This window comes from Homo sapiens, chromosome 3 (genome assembly GCF_000001405.40).
Source record: "Homo sapiens chromosome 3, GRCh38.p14 Primary Assembly".
In the NCBI taxonomy this organism is placed as follows: Eukaryota; Metazoa; Chordata; class Mammalia; order Primates; family Hominidae; genus Homo; species Homo sapiens.
In genome coordinates, this window is record NC_000003.12 from 150,030,095 (window position 1) to 150,052,817 (window position 22,723).

Below are 22,723 nucleotides of genomic sequence, written 5' to 3' on the forward strand. Positions count from 1 at the left end.
AGAAGGAAATGAGCTAAACTCAATGAAAACTCTCTTTGAGGAAGGAGCAGCTGGGAGCAGGGGGCGATGGGGAGTTACGAGAGGGTGTAGAAATGGAAACTTTACATTCTTACCTCATATAACTCTTTCCAAAGTAATTTATTTTTAGAAAGATATTATTTCAATAATAAAAGTATTCTATTTAAAAGCCAAAGAAAACTTTATAATCACATATTTACAATCATTTGGTTGCTTAATTTTATCCATTATGTGTGGACTGTATTAGTTTCAGCCTCAAGTAAAACATTATTCTTCCTATTTCCGGGTGCTTGGGGAAGTAGCACCTCATGGTCAGGATTCATGCCACTTATACCAGACCTTTCGCAGCATCTAGCACTTCCCCCTGAAAAGCAGTTCTAATGTATTCACATTATAAAGTACAGAAAATTAAATTAAAACTACTTTATTTGAAAAATTTGCAGTGCTTCTAAGATGACTAGAGACACCTTTGCCTTAATGTGTTGGAGAATGATAGAAGAAGTCAATGCCTAACAACTTCTCACTTACCACAATGACAGCGCAGCTGATGAGCTAATGCCATCTCCTCTTTAGGCATAGAGGAATATTGTTCATGTGTTGCCCAAGCTAACTATAGCAGACTCTCTAGAAGTGAGACCCAGGCATATGAATGTTTTCATACAAGCTCCCAATTCTAATGTGACCTCAGGTTTGAGAACCACTGGGGTAGACAATTATAATTCTGCCTAAATTCACACAAGGGCTATATGATTATTTTTCTAGCAGTAGAGTTAACTGCCTGTTAATTTTATATACATGAAGGCACATGGAGGTAGGATGCCCTGAGCCAACAGAAGCTAGAAACTAAGTCTTCTGCCTAGGTTAGAAGTCCCCATTGTGTTTTTAAGGCCAACTATGATTCACTTCTCTTAAGCCTGAGATTGCCTGAGAGGGGATCCACGCAGCCGTTGAGGAATGAGGTTGGGCAATGCTGCTGGTGTTAGTCCTGCTGAGAGTCCTGCAATGGGGGCATCAACAGGGGGGACCATAACCACTGTAAGTGGCATAGTTTTTACATCCTAACTGACTGTGTTTTCCCATTATTGAACTACCTCCCATCTTCCCTCACCCTCTTAATAAGCTCTCATTTAACTACGTCATTATGATAAGCAAGCCCTATTGTGTCCCCACCCAAATCAGGTCCTCTGCATTACTGCATATACATTGTGGAAATAAAAGACACTTATTGGAGGAGGTAGCAATAAGGAGTAAGACATGTCATTTGTCCTCACAGGTGGATGTTTACATACATTTCTAAGCACCTGCATTTTCCAAGTCCAGGCTTTGGGCTCAGGACTAAAGCCAGCAGCATCTGCAGAAATTTCGTATTTTAGGCCTCTCCCCAGAATGAGTGAATCGTCATGTTACAGTAGGTGGCTAGTCAGGCATGCTCAGGGCAGGAGAGGACTCCCCAACCCCCAACCAGGAATGTCAGGCAACCATCAGGTGATGGTCAGGCGGTTGTTAACTGTCTTTCCAAAATAATAATTGGTCAGGTGCAGCTAGTGCCAGGGAAAGGCAGTCTCCCGATAAGATAGAAAATGCCTGAAACTGGTAATCAGCAGCTTCCCAATAAGACCTCAGGAGTTGGGCAAGTGAGCTCAAGCATGAGCATTAAGAAGCAAAATGGTAGAGTTTAAATGGTATATGACCTTCTAGGGACATTCGACTGGTAAGGGGAGAACGCCTCAAGAGAGCATGCGTACAACTCCACTAAACACACCACTCATGTTCCCCTCCCAAACGCTAGCAGGCCACTGCCTATGTGGACAGCCCACCCCACGGGAAGAATCAGGGAAGTAATGCAAGACCCTGGAAGTCAGAGGTCAAAGCATGCATTTGATCTCTCAAGTCGCCTGTTTGGCCCTCTTCCTTTCATTCCTGCCCTAAAGCTTTTTAAATTATTAATAACTTTGATTCCTGCTCTAAAACTTGCCTCAGTCTCTCCTTTTGCCTTACGCCTCCTCAAATTCTTTCTTCTTAGGAGGGAAGAATTGAGGTTGCTGCAGACCCATATGGATTCGCTGGTGGTAACACTCAGTTGATTTGGATGCACATTAAAATGTGAGAAACACTGAACCAGCACACAAAGATGACTGTGAGAGAGTTCCACCTGCACGGAGTGCATGGCTTCTGGCAAATACTTTTTTTTACAAAAAGTAAAAACATGGATCTCAGAAAAATGTATAGTGAGTGTGTGTCAAAGATTTATTTAATTCACTAATGAGGGGACCAGCAAAATGGCAAAGCTGGAGCAAAGGAGAATAGGAGGAAACTGATAAATGTAGTCAATAGGAAAAAAGAAAATGCTGGAATACAGTGTCAAAGTTAGGTACAAAACAGGTTAATGTCCTTTCTTTAGGACCCTAAACCTTTGGGTTTATTCTTTTTGATTGGAAGAAAATGGTTTGCCTCTTTCCTGGATAAAAATCATTTGTAATTTATCAATCTTCTACAAATATCTAACTTTCCAGAATCTAGCCTCTAGTTAACAAAAAATAGTAAGTCAAAGTTACTTTCCCTTTAGGTCTGTGTTAAATGATGCTTGAACATGATGAGAAAAACTATGATTATCTCCAGTTTTGTGTAATTTTTCCTAACAACTCAAAGAGGAGACAGATCTAGAAATAAATAATTGCAACAAAATTGCACAGGTAATGATAAAAATAGTTAACATTTTTGGAGTGCTAGGCACTGTTCTAAGTGTTTCCATGAATTGGCTCTTTTAATCACTGTCAAAACCCTATGAGGCAAGGGCTATTCTTATCCCCATTTTACAGAGGAGGAAATTGAGGCACAATGAGGTAATCGTTTACAGGCTGATGGTGGCCTTGGATGCACTCCCATTTCCCATTTCTAATTAAAATTTGAATCGGGTGATGAGATGTAATATGACAATTTGGTCTGTGGGCTGCCTGGAAACCCTAAGATGGTTTGTGTAGAATGCCTGCTGCATTTTGCAATTGGGGCTGCTCCTCCTGGTGCTCAGACCTCATGTGTCAGCTCATTACACCATCATTCCCAATCTTAGGGCTGGAGCAGTTAAGTTAGTGTGTCTAGCAGAGACAAGGGGAGGGAGACTGGTGTATACGCTGTAATTCAGTGGGATGGATGTGTCAGTGCTCTTTGTGAAAAAACAGAATTTCATAAAAATCTGGCGTTTTCTGGAAGTCTGGGTACTTAATTAGAGGGCTATATGGCTTGATTTGGTGTTTGGAATCCACTTTAGCAAGATGAGTTGCTTTTTTCTAATTAAATAAATCCACAATCTAATCCTCTAAAAATATGTTCGTAGGGCTGGGCGCAGTGGCTCACGCCTGTAATCCCAGCACTTTGGGAGGCGGAGGAGGGCAGATCAACTGACGTCAGGAGTTTGAGACCTGCTTGGCCAATGTGGTGAAACCCCGTCTCTACTAAAAATACAAAAATTAGCCCGGCGTGGTGGCAGGTGCCTGTAATCCCAGCTACTCGGGAGGCTGAGGCAGGAGAATCGCTTGAACCCAGGAGGCGGAGGTTGCAGTGAGCTGAGATCATGCCATTGCACTCTAGCCTGGGCAACAAGAACAAAACTCTGTCTCAAAAAAAAAAATGTTCATAGACAGTGGAAGGACTGCTCCAGCCTGCAAATCCCAGGGTAGGTGCTACTTTCCTGTCCCTGCTGTTCTACCTTATAGCTGGCACACGATGAAGTTGGAGATAGGACTTGATGAGCCTAATTGTTCTCCTCAGCCTCCTTTTGTTTTGTCACAATGAGCTGCACGTGCAGAATTGTTTTTATATGTAATTGCTCCCATGAGGGGGTAATTGCACCCAAAAGTGGCTGGCTGCACCAATGGCAGGAGCAATTAGTAATAAAAATGCAAATAATTGCAGTCATCCAAATTGCAGTCTTAAAATAGGGACACCCAGTAGAAGCTTGGTGAAGGATTTGGCCTGCTCTTTGTCCCATTGAAAGTGTATTTGTAATTCGAAATCAATATTATAATCTCTGGGCCTTCCTTGAGTTTCCATGCTTTTATGAGCCTCTTTAAAACGGTATATATTATGGGACCAGTAAAAAATCAGACTAATTCCAAATGTCAGCTCATTTAAAAACTAGAAAATGGAGTGACTTAGAGTCAAAATTATATTTTGGAAAAAAAAAACCCCACCGACAATTGAATAAATGAATTTTTATCATAACTGTGAATTTGATCTCCACACATCAAACCTGGGGGAAACAGGTCACAGAAGTAGTAATAAAGTGATTTTTTATTACTCAGCATCTAGGCACAATTTCAGCAACTCTAGCTACACATCTTTCCTGCTACCCTTGCCCCTCAACCAAGTTATTCCCAAAGAATGCAGGGAGATGGCAGCCTTGGTGAAGCCTGAGCATAACCTGTCTCCACAGCTTTGTACATGCCTCCTGTGATCTCCCACCTTCCCCACTCAGATAGCACTGGGTTGTGCTGGGTGGCTTTGGTGCTCTGCTGCTCTGGATGGCAATGTTGAGCTGACAGGTTGCCCCCTATAAAATGGGGATAAAATACTATTTTCTATTTGTGTTGTGCTCTGTAACATGGGCCATAGGGGATGGCATCTTTCTGCTTTTACAGCCTCACAGAGGTGTTAGTGAAACACCTCTTCTTTGTTTTTGTATCTCAACCTCTCTCCCCCACTCTAGGTAGAGAACTGCGGGAAGAAGGTACAGGGGAAAGCTAAGGGTGGGGGCAGCAAGAAGGGGGATCCACAGGCAGTGTGAGCCCTGCACTCCTCATCATACCAAAATCACCCCTTCACTCACATTTGTGCACACACAGGAATCCTTTCTTCTTTTAGGAGTTTTCTCCCATAAATTTCTTGGACACTCATGCAAATGAACATCCCAATGGGCTCCTTTTATTGGTCCACAGTGTTCCAGAGGTACCTGGACACGCCTGAATTTTACTGGTAAGACAGCCCCAGCTATCCTTGAGACCCCAGCTATAACGGTACTTGGTTGACAAAGAAACATTGCCCTAAGGAACACAGGAAGGGAAAGCAACATTTTAGGGCAAAGTATTTTACAGCACAGAAATAGCAAGCTCCTATTGATTACTGGTCCATAGGGACCAATGTCACCAACAGAATGAAGAAAATAAACTCTGGTGATGTGTGTATTATTTAGCATTCTTATATTGGCAAAGTCTTTTCCTCAGGGAAGAAGTTTGTTACATGGATCAATGCCAACTCAACCAGAAGAATGTGGAAGAAATGTAGGAATACATAAGGCACTTTTCTCCTCTAGAAATGCCACGACTTTCTTTTGCTTGCAGGGTAGTGGTAGACCTTGCAATGCTTTGTGGCCGTCCCCAGGGGATAGGGGTAAGCTCATTTGTTGACAAGAAACAATTTAGAGAAAACACTGGGCCACCTGTGGGCAGAATCTATTTAAAAACCAAAGGCTGGCCCAGCAGTGGAGATCTCATGGCTGCTGCTCTACGCGTGAGCTGTTAGTTGATTTAATAATAGCCTCCTCCACCTAGCGCTGGGACGAAATGTCACCTTCCATTTATTCCCACTGTTTGTAGCATCTGGGATGCCACTCCATCATCCAGCCAATATAATTCTTCCTTCCTTTATTGCTGTAGACAGCTCTCATTCAAAAGAGTTATGTAGCAGATAAAAGAAAAGGCAGTAAGTGGTCAAAAATGACTAAGAGAGAGGGGTTATAATGTATTTTTGCTGAGACTGAGGAAGTATAAAGAAAAATAGAATTGTGCAAGAATAAGAGGGCTATTCAGATATGGTGATATCAGATGAAATATGGTTGGGTCAACTATTCGGTTTGGGTAACCAGAGAAGGGAAGATCATTTTGAGCCCCTAGTAAATCTCCTTAAGAAGAAGCGACTGTCCATGTGTCCCAGGCCTAAAAGAAACTATGACTGTTTATGGAAGGAATTCTCTGTGTACAGGCTGCAGGCAGATTCTGTTCTTCTGCCTCGATGAACCGGTGTGTGGTCAGTGAACTCTGTGTGACAACAGCTTGCATATGGAAAACTGCCCATCTGCTGGACTTTCACGTGTTGCAGGGAAGCTGCAGCCTCCCTGTTTGCCTATGCTAAAATTAATTTAAGCTAGGGATAAATGCTTTAATTGCTCACTAAAGCTTCAAGTTCAAATATCATTGGGAGACACAGTGCATTAGTGAAAAAAATCACATTAAAATGTAAATGATTGACATGTAAGCCTAAATCAGAAAGAGGCTGTGAGAGGGGAGTGACAAAGCAGAAATATAATCTGTTGAGAGCTCTGGGTAGATTCATGCAGAGATGTTGGAGTATGAGAGCATAGTTTCTAAATGGCATGAAGAAGGTGGAGCTCTGGGTCAGCAGAAGGAGGGAGAGCGGTGTTTCATAGTGTCATGGATGTCCACTGATTTCACCTGATTGGTATTCTTTCCCCTTCGTCAGGTAACAGCATGCTCTTTTTTCTTTTTGGGCACTATGCTTCTCACGCTGCGTGTGGTCCTGGAAAAACTAAGTTCCCCCATGACCTTCTTCCATGACCTTCACAGAGGGGATCTCTGTGGTCCAGTCTGACCAACCGGCAGTCTCCATCATCTGGAACACTGGCCTTCCCTATGGCATGCTCTATGGACACTGGGAGAGAGGAGATGTCTATTTCACTCTGGGATTTCTAGTTGTAGGGATTGGGTAAGCCTGGAGTTGTTGGAAGCAATTTTCCCAGTAGTATGAGAGAAACTGCCTGTAGAACCAAGCCATCACACAGAGAAAAGCAGAGCCAAGGGGTGGGGAGACAAACACACTCAAGAGTTCTGATGGCGTCACTAAAGGCCCCAGATCGAGTCATGCCTGAAGGGAGAACACCCTAGTTACACGAGCCTCAATAGAGCCCCTTTCGGCTTGAGAAAGTTTCAGTTGGGTTTTTGTCATGTGAAACCCAATGCAAGGGAATTAGAGAATAAAAAAAGTCAAAGGATTTTAAATAAGAGTAGATACAAACACTGTGTTTACACTACATTTTTCAAAGGCCCGACACAGAAAAATGCAAACTGTTTGTGTTTCTTTGAATGTGATTTTGCTCTGAGATGGAAACGTGGGTTTTGGCTTTACCTGAGCAAGCTATTTATTCATTTCGTTTCCTCCTTCATAATATAAGAATAGTAGCAGTGCCTGCCTCCAGTAGGTTAATACATGCAGAGCTCTTAGAACAGTGCCCAGCACATAGTAAATGCTCTATACATATTCTCCACTCTAGTAGTCTCCTTGCATTTCCTTTCTTTCCTCTGTTAATTTTCCCCCATCCGAAGTCAGCATCAAAAAAAGGCAGAGCCAGGTGTATATGCTGTTGTCCCAGCTACTTGAGAGGCTGAGGGGGGAGGATTGCTTGAGTCCACGAGTGAACCCAGGAGCTCAAGGTCAGTGTGGGCAACATAGTGGGACCCTGTGTCAAGAAAAAGAAGAAAGAGAAGAAAGAAAGAGAGAGAGAGAGAGAGAGAGAAAGGAAGGAAGGAAGGAAGGAAGGAAGGAAGGAAGGGAAGGAAGGAAGGAAGGAAGGGAAAGAAAGAAAGAAAGAAAGAAAGAAAGAAAGAAAGAAAGAAAGAAAGAAAGAAAGAAAGAGAAAGAAAGAAAGGAGGGAGGGAGGGAGGGGAGAGAGAGAGAAAGAAAGAAGAAAGAAAAGAAAGAAAGAAAAGAAGAAAGAAAGGAAGGAGGCAGGGAGGGAGGAAGGGAGGGAGGGGAGAGAGAGAGAGAGAGAAAGAAAGAAAGAAAGAAAGAAAGAAAGAAAGAAAGAAAGAAAGAAAGAAAGAAAGAAAGAGAAAGAAAAGAAAAGAAAAGAAAGAAGAAAATAAGAAAGAAGAAAATAAAAAAGAAAAGAAAAGAGGAAAACTAGTCTGGTAAATACCAGGCAGAACTTGCTTTGAAGGTTGGGGGCTGGGAAATAACTGAGGTGGTGAAGGCAGAGCCTCTTCAGTGAATGGGGATAAAATAGAATCTGTCAAGAACACACATTTGTTAACAAATTTGAGTTCGTCAAATATAGACTGAACACAAATTAATCAGTTTGTTCACATTAGCCTTTAATATCTTCTTAACTAGTGAAAATTTAATGCTGGTACATATTTTCTGGTATACGATTTTAAAGACAATTTGTAAAGCTGTAGGGAATTCATTCAACCAAATCACCTGTGGAACAGTGAGCAGAATGATCTTAAAATAATATAGAATATTAGATAATACAAAAAATTATAGGGGTGTAGCTTGGTTATTGATATGGTTTGGCTGTGTCCCCACCCAAATCTCATCTTGAATTGTAGCTTCCACAATTCCCATGTGTTGTGGGAGGGACCCAGTAGTGGGAGACAATTGAATCATGGGGCTGGTTTTCCCCATACTGTTCTCATGGTAGTGAATAAGTCTCATGAGATCTGATGGTTTTATAAGGGGAAACTCTTTTTGCTTGGCTCTCATTCTCTCGTCTGTCTCAATATAAGATGTGCCTTTCATCTTCCATCATGATTATGAGGCCTCCCCAGCTGAGGCAGGAGAACAAGGTATGGAGGCAGGGAACCTAAGGCCATTTCACACTGACTTCCGAGAACTAAATTGAAAGGAAAACCCTAACTTCCCAAGCCTAAGTAACAAAAGGACCAGAGACTACTCCCTTTACAAACCCCCACATTTTCTGCAAGGCAAATTGGAAATTGAATGTCTACAACCAGTCAGACGATTGCAGGCAGAGTCTTCGTTTGTGTAAAAGTGCAACTTTGTAACTTCACCTTAACCTCTGATTGGTTGTTTTTTGCAGCCTATCAGATGTTTGCACAGGAGTGTAACCTTTGTAACTTCGCTGCAGCCTCTGATTGCAGGCCGCCACTTCATTTACATGAGGTGACCACCAAGTGGCCAATGGGAAACCTGCAGAGGGTATTTGGACCTGAGAAGATTCTGTATCCAGGCACTTGAGCCCCTATGCTCCGGCCACTCCCACACTGGGGAGTGTACTTTCATTTTCAGTAAATCCCTTCATTCCTTCCTTGTTTTGCTGGTGCGTTTTGTCCAATTCTTTGTTCAAGATGCCAAGAACCTGGACACCCTCCACCGGTGACACAGCCATGTGGAACTGTAAGCCCATTAAACCTCTTTTTCTTTATAAATTACCCAGTCTTGGGTATGTCTTTATCAGCAGCATGAAAATGAACGATTACAGTTATACGCTAACTCAGAGTTGAAGATACTTGGTTACAGAATATTTGACATTAAAAAAAAAAACAGGGACCTTTTTGTGCATGACTCCTTCCAATGCCCTTGGGGGATATAAATTGATGTGTTCTCATGTTTATATATTTTTATAAGATTTGCAAAAGTAAATGTTTTTGTATTCTTTTTTTTTAAAAGAGACTGTAATATTGTAAGAACTCCAGGCCCCATAAAACCTGGAATCACTTTCTGTCAAAGGACTTAACACTATTATGATAGATTTCCTAGTGTATTGATAAGAAAAAATCAACCAAAATTTGGAAATAAGGCCAAGAGAGAAACCACGACCTTTTAATATCAGTCAAGGAGTTGTTCAAGAAACCCATCAATGAGTATTTAATTATCTAGGGAAATGTATCTTTGTTTGATTCCTTTTTAATTAATGTTTACAGGTCTCAGACTTTGTGAAATTACATGCTAACTTGCAGACATTTTTGTCTGGTGGAGATGCAAATGATTTCTGTCTGAGAGAAAAGGTAACCTAAAAGATGATAGTTTTATTGCCCTGTAAGACATTAACAAGTTTTGTATCTAATCTAGTAATCTCATTCTCTCTTTATTTTTTGTTGCCAAGGAACACCCAGTTCCTCCAATATTCTTTGCACCAGAGTTACCATCTTACAAATTCCCTCCTTAATGAATTAAATAACATATTTGACATGTGTTCATTCTAAATTTGTACAGGAGTTATGTCTTTAACTTTCTGAAAATTGTACTTTGACAGTATGTTAAACTCTCTAAAGAAAATCATTCTATTTATAATTTATTATGACATACGCAAGTATATGTCACCCATCTTTATATGTTTACTTATAGTCAGGATTCGAACTTGGCTTGAGCTGCTCTCACCACAAAACCTCATAATCTCTTTCACTTTATGGCCTGGTGGGCTGGCACAGAGCCCCAACTTGAAACCATGCATGTAACCTTTCTGAGCCTCAATTTTCTCATCTGTGAAATGTGGGTTGCTGTTAACATTACGAGATGAGGTCTTTAAGGCTCTGACATAACACCTCACATATTTTCCCTCAACAATTGTTGACGTCTTTCTTGTCTCAGCCAGTATGCTTTCAGTTACTCAAGGCAGCTCAGGTGTCTCCCAGAACCCAAGGTAGAAATTGAGAAGATTAGACCCACAGCTGTGCTTTCTTGGCAAGTAAACAGTTGCAGCAAGAAACACCTAGACCCGGGAGCCCATTTCTCTTTCTGATTATGGCTTACATGACTCTTTCAGCCCCAAGACTCACCCAGAAGCAGAAGATGGCTTCCCTCCTTGGGGCTTCCCTCCTGAACCCATTTTGTTCTCAGACAGCTGAAACTTCACTGTCTTATTAAACATTTTTTTTAAACCATTGATTGAGTCCTTTTTAATCATGTATAGTCTGTCTTTCCATCTTCTCATTTTCAATCTTGAAGGCAAAAGATGTTTCCATTTTAGTTCTCTAGTTCCTTCAGATAACTCCCCCCTCCCCCCAAAAACTAGCGGTGTGGTCAACATTATTTACATGGTCTGTATTCTTGGCAAGACTCTATGGGATGAAGGATGTATGGGCAAACAGGACATGAAGCTGAGTAGCTGGAATGGCTAGAGTGGGATACTATTTTAGCTATATTTGTGGATTCCAGCAGAGGGACTCAAGGACCCTGGATTCTGGACCAGTGTTTGCTCCATTCTGCCTTCATAATCCACTCGTGGACCTCCCCTTCATGTGTTTGCACCTTTCATTGTCCAGACTCCATCACTATTCCTGGTTCCCTAAAGGCCACATTTTAATTTCTTCCATCTTTAGAGATACATACACACATCCCTTTCTCCTTCATTTATTTACTCTTTTGAAACTGATGCCCAAGAAAGTCATTACAAAGTTTAGGGGAGGCAACTGGATTAGACTTGTCATAAAAAGAGCACTCTGGGCTCTCAGGAATTCTCTTTCAGTCAAGATGGAGGAACCAGGACCAGATTTACCCTCATGCCTATACAGCTAGAAAACCAAACAAAATATATGAAACAATGGCCTTCACATATTAAATAAGATGTGGTGCAGGATTGTGATATATGATAGAAGGGAAACAATTGAGGTGAGCTCTGTAATGTCCCCAGGTTTCTGCCTGCAGGCTCTTTCTAAGCTGCAGCACAAGGAAGAGGAACCCGACTTGGCCCAACCATCATGCCAAAGTGAGGAGACAGAGATCAGAGTTTGGGGAGCCAAGGCAGCATAGTACCAGAGACAGAGAGAGAAAGGGAGAGAGAGAGAGAGAGAGACAGAGAGAGAGAGAGAGAGAACCAACAAGAGTGCCCTAGAGAGATGTAGAGGAATATCCTCAAGTTTTTGGCTGAGTACAGATCTGTATATGCATGAGAAGCAGCAAAAAAAGCCACTAAAATGGTGGGGCAGAAGAATTCCTAGACTTGAAAATAGCTTGTATTTCACCATCCAGAGTTAAAAGACCTTGTAATACACAGGAAATTGAATAGATTCCTCAGAAGGGTATTATTTTAGTAGTAGGGCTAAATTAGCCCTAAAGACCCCTCTGAACTCACTCTAACAGAGTTGGAAAGCAAGCCTCAAAAGGGTCAAAATCATTCCATGTAACTTATCTGTGTATCAAAAAATCCAACACTATTCAAAGGAATATAACAAAATCCAGCAATTAATAATGTAAATTTTGCAATATCTGGCATGCAGTTAAGACAAAGAATATTACTAGGAGTAAAGGACTTAGTAATAAAGGTGTCAATTCGCCGAGAAGACATAAGAATCACAAATGTGTATGTACTTAACACAGAGCTTCAAAACATATAACGCAAAAATGGTAAGACTGAAATCAGATATACACAGATCCACAATAACATTTGGAATCATCAACATTCCTCTCTCAGTAGTTGACAGAACAATATAGAGACACAAAAGCCTATATATGAATATTCATAGCAGCACTATTGCTAATAGACCAAAAGTGGAATCAAGCCAAATGTCCATCAGCCGATGAATGGGTAAACAAAATGCAGTATTGTAAATAAAGCCACCATAAGCATTGACTCAGTGAATACTGAACCATTGCACCTAGGCAAAATATACAGTTATGCTCCTGTGAGCCTCTGGTCACAATATTTTTGTCAACCAATCAATAAATAATTTTTCTTTGCCTTTGTTTCTGTTTTAAAGACACCTTATTTAATATATATTGTTGATTCATTAACATCTAACTCACAGCCAACAGCACTATAATTCATGCCTCAATAAAGCTTATTTAAAACATGTATTTTTGCTGTAAGGCATATCACGGACTTCTTGTGCTGACCAACACAAGATAGCACTTCAGCACTACACTTGGTGGGGAGCATTTAAATAGCAAATTCACCAACAAAAAGCAAAAAAAAAAAAAAAAAAAAAGCAAAAAAAAAATAAGTGCTATGGCTTGGATATTTGACTCCTTCAAACTTCATGTTGAAATAGGATCCCCAATATTGCAGATGGGGCCTCATGGGAGGTATTTGGATTATGGGGATGGATCCCTCATGAATGGCTTGGTACCATCTTTGTGGTAATGAGTGAGTTCTTGCTCTATTGGTTCCTGCAAGAGCTGGTTGTTAAAAAGAACCTAGCACCTTTTCCCTCTCTTGCTTCCTCTCTCACCATGTGATCTCTGCACATGCTGGCTCCCTTCGGCCTTCTGCCATGAGTGGAAGCAGCCTGAAGCCCTCACTGGAAGCAGATGCTGGTGCAATGCTTCCTGTACAGCCTGAGAAACATGATCCAAATAAATCTCTTTTCTTTATAAGTTACCCAGCCTCAGGTATTCCTTTATAGCAACACTAGGTGGACCAGGACAACATGGCAATAAACAGACCACAAAAAGGACACTTGTTTATAGTATGACAGCTAAAACAAGACAGCTGGGTATCACTTTGTTTGACCTCAACTGGGAATATGCACATTGGGTAAATCCAATTTTTTGTTGTTCTGTTCATATCCACAGATGACTGTGAAAACACTATGAATGTTTATTTTTGGGATTACAAATAAATTTTAGCAAGTAGGCGAATTCACAAATATGGAATCTTTGAATGACGATGATTGACTATATATACATATGAAGTATTATTAGGTTGTAAAAAGGAATGAAGTTCTGACAATTGCCACAAAATAGATGAACCTTGAAAATATTATGCTAAGCCAAAGAAGCCAGACACAAAAGGACACACATAGCATGATTTCATTAGTATGAAATGTCCAGAATTGGCAAAGCCATAGAAATAGAAAGTAGATTAGATATTTCTATTTCTAATCTATTTTTATAACTCCAGAAAGAAATTTCATATTGTTTAGCAGTCACAATTGGAGCAAATGGGGAGTGACTGCTAAAAAATATGAAATTTCTTTTTGGAATTATAAAAATGTTCTGGAATTAGATAATGGTGATGAGTTATGCAATGTGAATATACTAATAATCCACTGGATTGTACACATTAAATGAGTGGATTGTATGATATTAAATTATATTTAATAAAAATAAAAAAATAAAAAATTTAAAAAGAAAGCATATAGAAGGCTTGAATAACATAATCAACAAACTTGACTTAATTGATATTTATAGCACATTCCACTCAACAGCAAAATACACATTCTTGTCACATGTACATGGAACATTCACTAATATAGATAATATTCTGGGCCACAAAACAAGCCTTTAAAAATGTAAAAGTATTGAAATCATACAATATATGTTCTTTGTCCATAACTCAATTAAACTAGAACTCAGTAGTAGAAAGATATCTGAAAATCTCCCAATATTTGGAAATTAAATAACATAGTGCTAAATAACTCACGAGTCAAATAGAAATTCACAAGATAAATTAGAAAATATGGTTAGTTTAATGAAATAAAAACACAGCATCAGCTAAAATAATGCTTAGAGAGAAATTTATAGAATCAAAGACTAATATTAGGAAAGAAGAAATGCCTCTAAACTTTCAGCTTAAGAAACTAGAAAAAAAGAGTAAATCAAATCCAAAGCAAGCAGAAAGAAGACACTATATGAAAAGAGCAGAAATCAATGAAATTTAAAATGGAAAAGCAATAGAGAAAATCAATGAAACAAAAACTAGTTCTTTTAAAAAAATCAATAAAATTTGACAATCCTCCAGCAAGCCTGAAAAAGAAAAAAGAAAGAAGAAACAAATCACAAATATCAAGGATGTAACAGGAGATATCACTATGTACCCTGCAGACACCAAAAGGATAATAAGGGAATACTATGAAAAGAAAAAAGAAAGAAGAAACAAATCACAAATATCAAGGATGTAACAGGAGATATCACTACATACCCTGCAGACACCAAAAGGATAAGGGAATACTATGAAAAACTCTACACACATAAGTTTGACAACTTAAATGAAATAGACCAATACCTTGAAAAGCACAAACTACCACAGCTTGTCCAATGTGAAATAGATAATTTGAATAGTGTTAACAATTAAAGAAATTGAGTTCATGATTACAAACCACCTAACAAAGAATACTCCAGCCCTAATTGTCTATTCTGCTGAATTCTATCCAACACTAAAGAAAGAAGACTAATTCTATGTAGTGTATTCCAGAAAATAAAAGAGGAGAAGATACTCCCCAACTCATTTTTTAATATGAGTATTATCGTGATACCAAAACCGGTTAAAGACATTACAAGAAAGGAAAACTACAGATCAATATTCCTACAGACCAATTTTCCTACACGCAAACATCTTCAACAAAATGCTAGCAAATGAAATCCAGTGGTATAAAAAGACCAATTATAAAAGAAATGCAAGGCTGGTTCAATGTTTAAAAATCAATATAATTTACCATATCAACAGATGAGGGGAAAAAAAGCATAAGATCATTTCAACAAATGCAGCAAAAACATTTGACAAAAATCAACAGAGGCTCATAATACAAACTGTCAGCAAACTAGAAATAGAAGGGAAAGTCATCAACTCAATAAAGGCCATCTTAGTTCTTTTGACCTAATTGATATTTACAGAATGTTCCACCCAACAGCAGAATATGCATTCTTATCAAGTGCACTTGGAGCATTTACTACAACTACCTACATACCTACAGCTACCATCATTCTTAATGGCAGAAGACTGAATACTTTCCTTCTAAGATAAGGTATAAGGCAAGGCTGTCTGCTCTCACCACCTCTATTCAATGTTGTACTACAGACCCTAGCTAGTGCAATCAGGCAAGAAAAAGAAATTACATGCATACACATTGGAAAGAAAGAAATAAAACTGTCTCTATTCATAGATGTCATGATTGTCTACATAAAAAATGCCAATGCACCTATAAAAAAAGTGACTCAAACTAAAAAGTGAATTAGCACCTGTGCAAGATACATGTCAAAATGAAAAAATCAATTCCATTTCTATATGCTATGAATACATAATTAGAAATTAAAATGAAAATATTATTTACATTAGCATTAAAAAATCATGACACTTATAAGTTATATAACAAAATACATGAAAGATCTGTATGCTGAAAACTCAAAACATTGAGAAAAATCACTGTACACATTTGTCAAAACTCCTAGATCATACATATAAAATTGGTGAGCTTTATTATATATAAATTATATCTCAATAAATCTGATTTTAAAAGACAGAAGGAGAGAGGCCCTCTGGTTGGCACAAAGAGGATGGGTTGGTGAGGGTGATCAAGACTAAAGGCCTAGATGTTAATTATTTAGAGACAAAAGCTAGAATATTCAAAAAGAAATTTGAATGAGAAATGAGAGGAAAGCACAAGAAGACCAAAAAAGGGAAAAAACAGAAGCACAGAAACAGATGAGCTTCCTGAGCGCAGATTTGTGTCCTAAGATAACTTGGAGACAAGGCACAGATTGGCATGACAGACACTCCCTGGGTACACAGGCCCCTGTTCCTTCTTCTGCCCTACTTTGGTCTCACTTGAATGTTGCACCAAGCAGCTCAGGCTAATTCCAAGGTAGGCTCGTGCTAATACCACTGCTTCGGTTTGCCACACACATTTTTAGTACTCCCTGAAGATTGCTTCTACTGTTGGTAGAATTTGGTAGAATTCTAAGTTACCTTCTGAGGCTGGAATGCCCAGAGGACACTTGTTTACTCTCTTGGTTGGTGAGCCCATATTCCTGCTGGGCACTCACCCAGTGGCCATTTCTTATGTTCACATAATTCCACCTTGGTAAGGTGGTCCCATGCAATATAGGGAACTTATATTCTTTATCTGAAATTTACATTTAACCGGTTTTTCTGTATTTTTACTTGCTAAATTTGACAACCTTATACCTGAGGGCTTTCCCCCAAGATTCTGCCTCTGCCTATTGTCCCTCCTAAGTAATCCCTGAGACACTGTTTACTCTGAATCTTATCACCTAGGGTTAATAGTGGAAATATGTTTATCCATCAAGAAACAAAAACAGCCTGCCCAACAACTGGAAGAGAGGGATTGTCCTCTCAAGATTCAGGCTAGCCAAAAGAATGGAAGTATCTTTTTCTTAAACAGCTATTTCCTCAACCACAGGTAATAAAAAACTGCTTTGTCCTGTCTCCTCACCATGGAGCAAAGGGGTATTTCCTTTTGCATGTTTAGATATAAAGATTAAGTTCTTGCCTTAAACTAGTAGCAATAAGTTAAAGATGTAACCAATATAACTTAAGATTGTTTTACTTCTTTTTCAAGTTATTTTACCTACATTTTGTATGGAAAGGTCTTAAGGAACCTATTTTTTTCCCCAGTGTGTCAGAGTTTACATTGAAAGTAATTTCATACTAAAGGAAAACAACGTGAATCATGGCATTTGGTACAAGGATTAAGAATTCTTTATTGTCTGCATAGTGCTCTAAAACGTCTTATGAATAAGCCGGTATTTTCGATCTTCAGCTGAATCAGCTTTATTATTTGAAATCTGTGATCTTATACTTGTATTTTGAGCACATTTTTCATCCTCATTAATAATGAAAATGAGATTGTTAATGAGGCTAAATGACATGGCTGGGGTTACAGTAAGTTGATTGTTACAGAGTTCCTGAGTCAGAAATTCTTGCTCCCTTTTCTCTCCGTGCAAATGGTGATGAGAAATCTATCTATAATCTGATATATTATAATTATAATCCATCTTACAATCTATCTATAAGATAATTATCTTTTATATTCTGGTTCTCCATTTTTTTCTGTTATGATCCACAATTAAGAACATATGACTTAAATATTTAAGAATTGGATAGAAGTATTCATCCATAAATTTTTCTCCCCAAAAAAGCCACAATCCATAGCCCCAAACCACATGAGTAATACCTATATGTGTAAATATGATTCTTGTGTATTAAATACATATATGTATATATCATGTTAAGATACACACAGTTGGCATATATTATATACTGCCAGGTGGGTACATGTGATTGGAGGAAAAGACTGTTGTCTCTCTGCACTCCATTTTCCTTTGCCCCACTCTATCACTTAGGCATGCAACCTCTTTGCTTCAAGTTATTATAGCAGAAAAAAAGGCTATGCCTTTTAAAAGCATAGGTGCTGAGGGGCTCAGGGCATAAAGAAGACCTAATGAGAAGGAGACAGCCTTCCCTTTGACCCTTAATTCCTCCAAAGGTTCACAGGTTAGTGGCATAGGGAAAGGAAGACAATTAGAGGGGAGGCAAAGGGAGGTTAGCTAAACTCTGGCGTGACCTGAGAAACGGTCCCACATTGCTGCTCCCTCCCCTAGGCTAAAACCCTGGGAAGGAGGTAAGGAGCAGGGTAAGAAAAATACCAAGTAAAAGGAGAGGATCTGAGCGTGGTGAGCATCTACTCTCTTGTCCCTCTACCCAACCTCAAAGGGGTGGCAGCCAGAACCAGAGTCCCCTGGAATCTTCATGTGCATTCTGGAGCAGCAGGGTTCAGGGCCCCAGGCAACCTCATGGAGCTGCTTGTGCCCTGGGCTGCAGCTCTGAGAGCATTGAACCCTTGGAGCCTTGCTGCCTCTGTGTGTGAACAATCAAAGACCAGACAGCAATAAGGATGCCTCAGTCTTCACCAACTTGGACAGATCATGACCCAGACCAGACACCCCCTTCCACCCACTGCCTGGGCACACAGCTCTTCTCCGGCAACTTAGAAGGGAGGAGAAACCCTCCTTGACTGAGATTGTTTCCTCATAAGATGTGTTAAAGTTTGTTCTCATGAGACTAAATAAAGTGATATATTTTATACCACTAAGTTTGTGGTGTGAAATACCCTATACACACACATATACATATACACAATGTCCATATATATAATTTTTATTTATACCTTATATATAATTTTACCTATACCTATAATTTTTTATTTATACCTATGTGGTATATATTTTATATCTTTTAGTTATGTGCATCCTCTATTTTATGTTTCTGGTTTGTTTTAGGGAATTTGCTTGGGAAGTGGACAATAAGAAGGGTAGGCTTTTCTTTGCTATCTGTGATGGGGACTTGAAAGGGTACACAAAAAACTTAGTATTTTAGTGGTTAAGATAAGGAAAATGAAAAGAAATTGTGTGGGTGTGTGTGGTACATATATGTGCATAGATGGACACGTAGATACATAGGTAGGTAGATAGATATGGAGCTGCCATCTCTCTGCCTACAGCAGTTTTCCTGATGCAGAAAAACCAGAGTGCCACGAAAGCCTCCACATAAACTTGAATAACATTATCTCCTGGGTTCTCCAGTCCTCGTCACCAGTCTTAGCTATGCGGTTCATCTCGTGGCCTCTTGTGCTCTCACAAAAGATGGGTAGAATTCCTGCTTTAATTCTGGTGCTGGATTGTGCTTTTTAAAATAATTAGATGGTGAATGGGGAACACGTTGACTTAATTTGGCCCAGCAAGACTTTTTCTCTATTAATGAGGGCAGCATGAATAAATGAAAGACCCTTTCTGCAATAACCTGTCAAAGACTCTTTTTCAGATAAAGCATTGGTCGTAGGTTTTTATTTTCAGGAAGAAGGAAAAGAAGTACATTTATTTATAAAATAATGAAAGAAAAAAGAGAAAGGTTTTTGGTGTCTCTTCATGAATCACTTAAACAAACAAACAGAAAAAGAGAGGGATTAGTGAATAGCAACCCAGATGGAGAATTTGCTTATGGGAGGGGCAAAATGGTGCAGTGACTGAAGCAAAGATCCTGGAGACAGGGGCATGGGCTCAGATCCCAGCTGTGTCTTTCACTAGCTGGTGTTTAGCTTCTGTGCCTCAGTTATCCCACCTGTAAAGTGGTATTAAAACAGTTATCTATCTGATGGAATTGTTGTGAGAATTAAATGGTAATCTGTAAAGAACCTAGATTAGTAAACACTATGTGTGTTGCTTGTCATTGTTATTTATTTTAAAAGTGTAGTAGTCCGTTCTCTCATTGCTTTGAAGAACTACCTGAGACTAGGTAGTTTATAAAGGTAAGAGGTTTAATTGACTCACAATTCCACAGGTTGTAAAAGAAGCATGGCTGTTAGGCCTCAGGAAACTTACAATCACGGCGGAAGCTGAAGGGGAAGCAGACACAAGCATAGCCGGAGAAAGAGGGAGAAAGTGAAGTGGGAGGCGCTACACACTTTTAAACAACCAGATCTCCTGAAAACTCTATCATGAGACAGCACTAAGGGAATGGTGGTAAACCATTGGAAACCATCCCCATAATCCAATCACCTCCCATCACACCCCACCTCCAACGCTGGGGATTACAACTCAACATGAGATTTGGGTGGGAGTACAGAGCCAAACCATATCAAAAAGTGTAATGCGCTGAGGGTAACCACCAGTTTACCCTTCTCCATATATGACAGAATTAGAGGAAATAACCTAGAAAGCAATGTAAAGGACTTAGGTTAGAAATAAGAAAGAACTGGAAAGTTGTTTTTTAAGTTCTGGAATGGTCTACCCAAGAAGTTATAAGTACTTAAAAAACAAAGCAGGAGAGTTAGTTACTCATTTGACCAGAATAGTTTGGGTGCAAATCTGTTATACTAGAGCCATTTCAGAATAAGCACCTACCTTCTTGACCTGATGGCTTAGAATTTCACTCAGTTCTCACACTGGGTGACTTTAAATTATCTACGTCACTGTTGACCACGGTGGATAATTGTCATTTTCCTAAATGTACATTTGCTCTGGTGGTCAACTACTGCATATTAAATCCCTAGAGAAAAGGCGTGCACTACAGTCAGAGTTGCTTGAACATTTAAGATGATAAAGATTGAGCAAACCCAGTGACTCACCTTCGCCGCGCTAACTCTTCGCTAGCTCTCCCCCTCAATACACGCTCACACCCTCCTCAAGATGGCGGCGGCGGCGGCGGGGGACTCCGACTCTTGAGACGCGGATGCATTCTCCGTGGAAGACCCAGTGCAGAAGGTGTGGGGCGGCGGCACTGCTGGCGGGGAGCGCTGGGAAGGCGAGGACTAAGACGAGGGCGTCAACGATAACTGGGATGACGATCAAGACTTAAAAAAAGAAGAAGCAGAAGTAAAACCGGAGGTAAAAAGTTCAGAAAAGAAAAAAACAGCAGAGAAGATAAAAGAGAAAGAACGGCAACAGAAGAAAAGCAAGAAGAAATTAAAAAGAGGTTAAAAGAACCTGAAGAACCTAAAGTGCTAACACCAGAAGAACAATTAGCAGATAAACTGGGGCTAAATAAATTACAGGAAGAGTCAGACCTCGAATTAGCAAAGGAAACTTTTGGTGTTAATAGTACAGTTTATGGAATAGATGCTATGAACCCATCTTCAAGAGATGATTTTACAGAGTTTGGAAAGTTACTAAAAGATAAAATTACACAAAATGAAAAGTCACTATATGATGTCTTTTTTTTTTTGGAAATCTTAGTTCGAGATGTGTGTATTTCATTGGAAATTGATAACTTGAAAAAGATTACCAATTCACTGACTGTACTTTGCCGTAAAAACAGAAGCAAGAAAAACCAAAAAGAAGAAGAAAGGTGTGGTTCCTGGAGAGGGATAAAAGCCACCATGAAAGATGATCTGGCAGATTATGGTGGTTATGATGGAGGTATATGTACAAGACTATGAAGACTTCATGTGACATTTTATCTTTTCCTGGTGTCTTTTTTTTTTTTTTTTTTTGAGACGGAGTCTCGCTCTGTCTCCCAGGCTGGAGTGCAGTGGCGTGATCTCGGCTCACTGCAACCTCCGCCTCCCGGGTTCAAGCAATTCTCTGCCTCAGCCTCCCGTCCTGGTGTCATCTTTGTGTTGCCCACAATCCCTTGAACATGTAGTACAACTTCCTTTCCTTTCAGTTCTGCCAAATGCTACAATTAGAAGTGCAGTAGTATCTTTTGTGCTGGTTATTTAACCCCTCAACACTTAGGTGCTAATGTGCAAATGAGGGAACTTGGATCTTGCTGCCAAGGGGTTAAAATTGGGAACCTCAGTGGCTACTAAATCATAGTTCAAAACGAACCTAATAATGTTGTCATTGTTGCTGTCTGATTTCATAGCAGCAGTCACTGAATTGGAAATAAAAGGTTGCAACATGACAAAAAAAATTGTGTAGTATTTACCAGCACCATTCAGTAATACAGTCTTAACCATACCTCCTTGAACTACTTCATAACTTGTCAAGAAAACCAGCTTGCAGCAAGGGCATGTGATGTGCACCTAGTATTAAAATTGCTTTGTCTTAAAATTGAACGTAAGGATATTAAAAATACATTGTGAAGAAGACTGCTTATCTCAGAGTGAAGATACTGTGGCTGATATCTTCACTCTATAGTTTTTATATCAAACTATAGCACTAGTTTGATATAAAATTAAAATGGCCAAAACCCTCCAACTTTGAAGCTAAAGGAGGTAAACCTCTCCATTATTGCATTACATGTTGTGGAATCTCTTGAGTGCAGGCTGTCTAGTAATTTATCAGGCTATTTCTACTGATGAAGTGCTTCAGATTGGGGAGGGAAACTCTTTACTTGTTTTTATCTGCCTGATTTAAGTGTCTGAGAAACAAATCTTTGTTCTTTTAGGCCACAATGGAACAACTTTACCAGGATTTTGGCATTTCCTTTCCTTTATAAAACGTGCTCAGCACATTGCACCAGTTAACTGCAGTTTGGTAAATTGTTATGTTAACAATTATGACATCTGCAATGTTTTATAAAGCAACTAATTTAATAAAATCACTATTTTGAGGACTAAAAAAAGATGATAATGATTTACAAACAGAGTTTTAACACGTTTTAACTGTTCAGAATAACCTACTATGCAAGTTGCTGCTATCAAACAAAATAGAAAGTTTCTTAAAGTTTTCCCAGACTCAGTTGTATGACTTGATACATGCTCTTTAGTTGCTTGAAAAAAGGTCAAGACACAATACAGAACGATTAAAATAAACTTTAAAAACTAGGTTCCTGGGA

General features: G+C 39.4%; 2 long non-coding RNA genes and 1 pseudogene across 2 annotated transcripts in view, besides 1 other annotated feature; 2 read left to right on the top strand and 1 right to left on the bottom strand.

Moving 5' to 3' along the window:
* The window catches only part of LOC124909445 (uncharacterized), a 33,494-nt gene extending 12,873 nt beyond the window's left edge, over nt 1–20,621 (bottom strand). Inside the window, exon 1 of the long non-coding RNA XR_007096126.1 lies at nt 20,571–20,621. This is a non-coding gene — a long non-coding RNA (uncharacterized LOC124909445). The remainder of the gene's footprint in view (nt 1–20,570) is intronic.
* Nucleotides 8,828–9,122: an enhancer, noted in NCBI's record as "tiled region #9408; HepG2 Activating DNase unmatched - State 1:Tss, and K562 Activating DNase unmatched - State 8:EnhW". NCBI's record gives its function as "activates a minimal TATA promoter and a strong SV40 promoter by Sharpr-MPRA in HepG2 and K562 cells {active_cell/tissue: HepG2 | K562}" and the evidence as "EXISTENCE:reporter gene assay evidence [ECO:0000049][PMID:27701403]".
* Nucleotides 9,069–10,652, top strand: LOC105374153 (uncharacterized). Its single transcript, XR_924577.3, has 3 exons — nt 9,069–9,165; nt 9,693–9,776; nt 10,535–10,652. It is a non-coding gene; the product is annotated as an uncharacterized LOC105374153 (long non-coding RNA).
* On the top strand, nt 20,583–22,507 carry EIF3JP2 (EIF3J pseudogene 2; annotated as a pseudogene).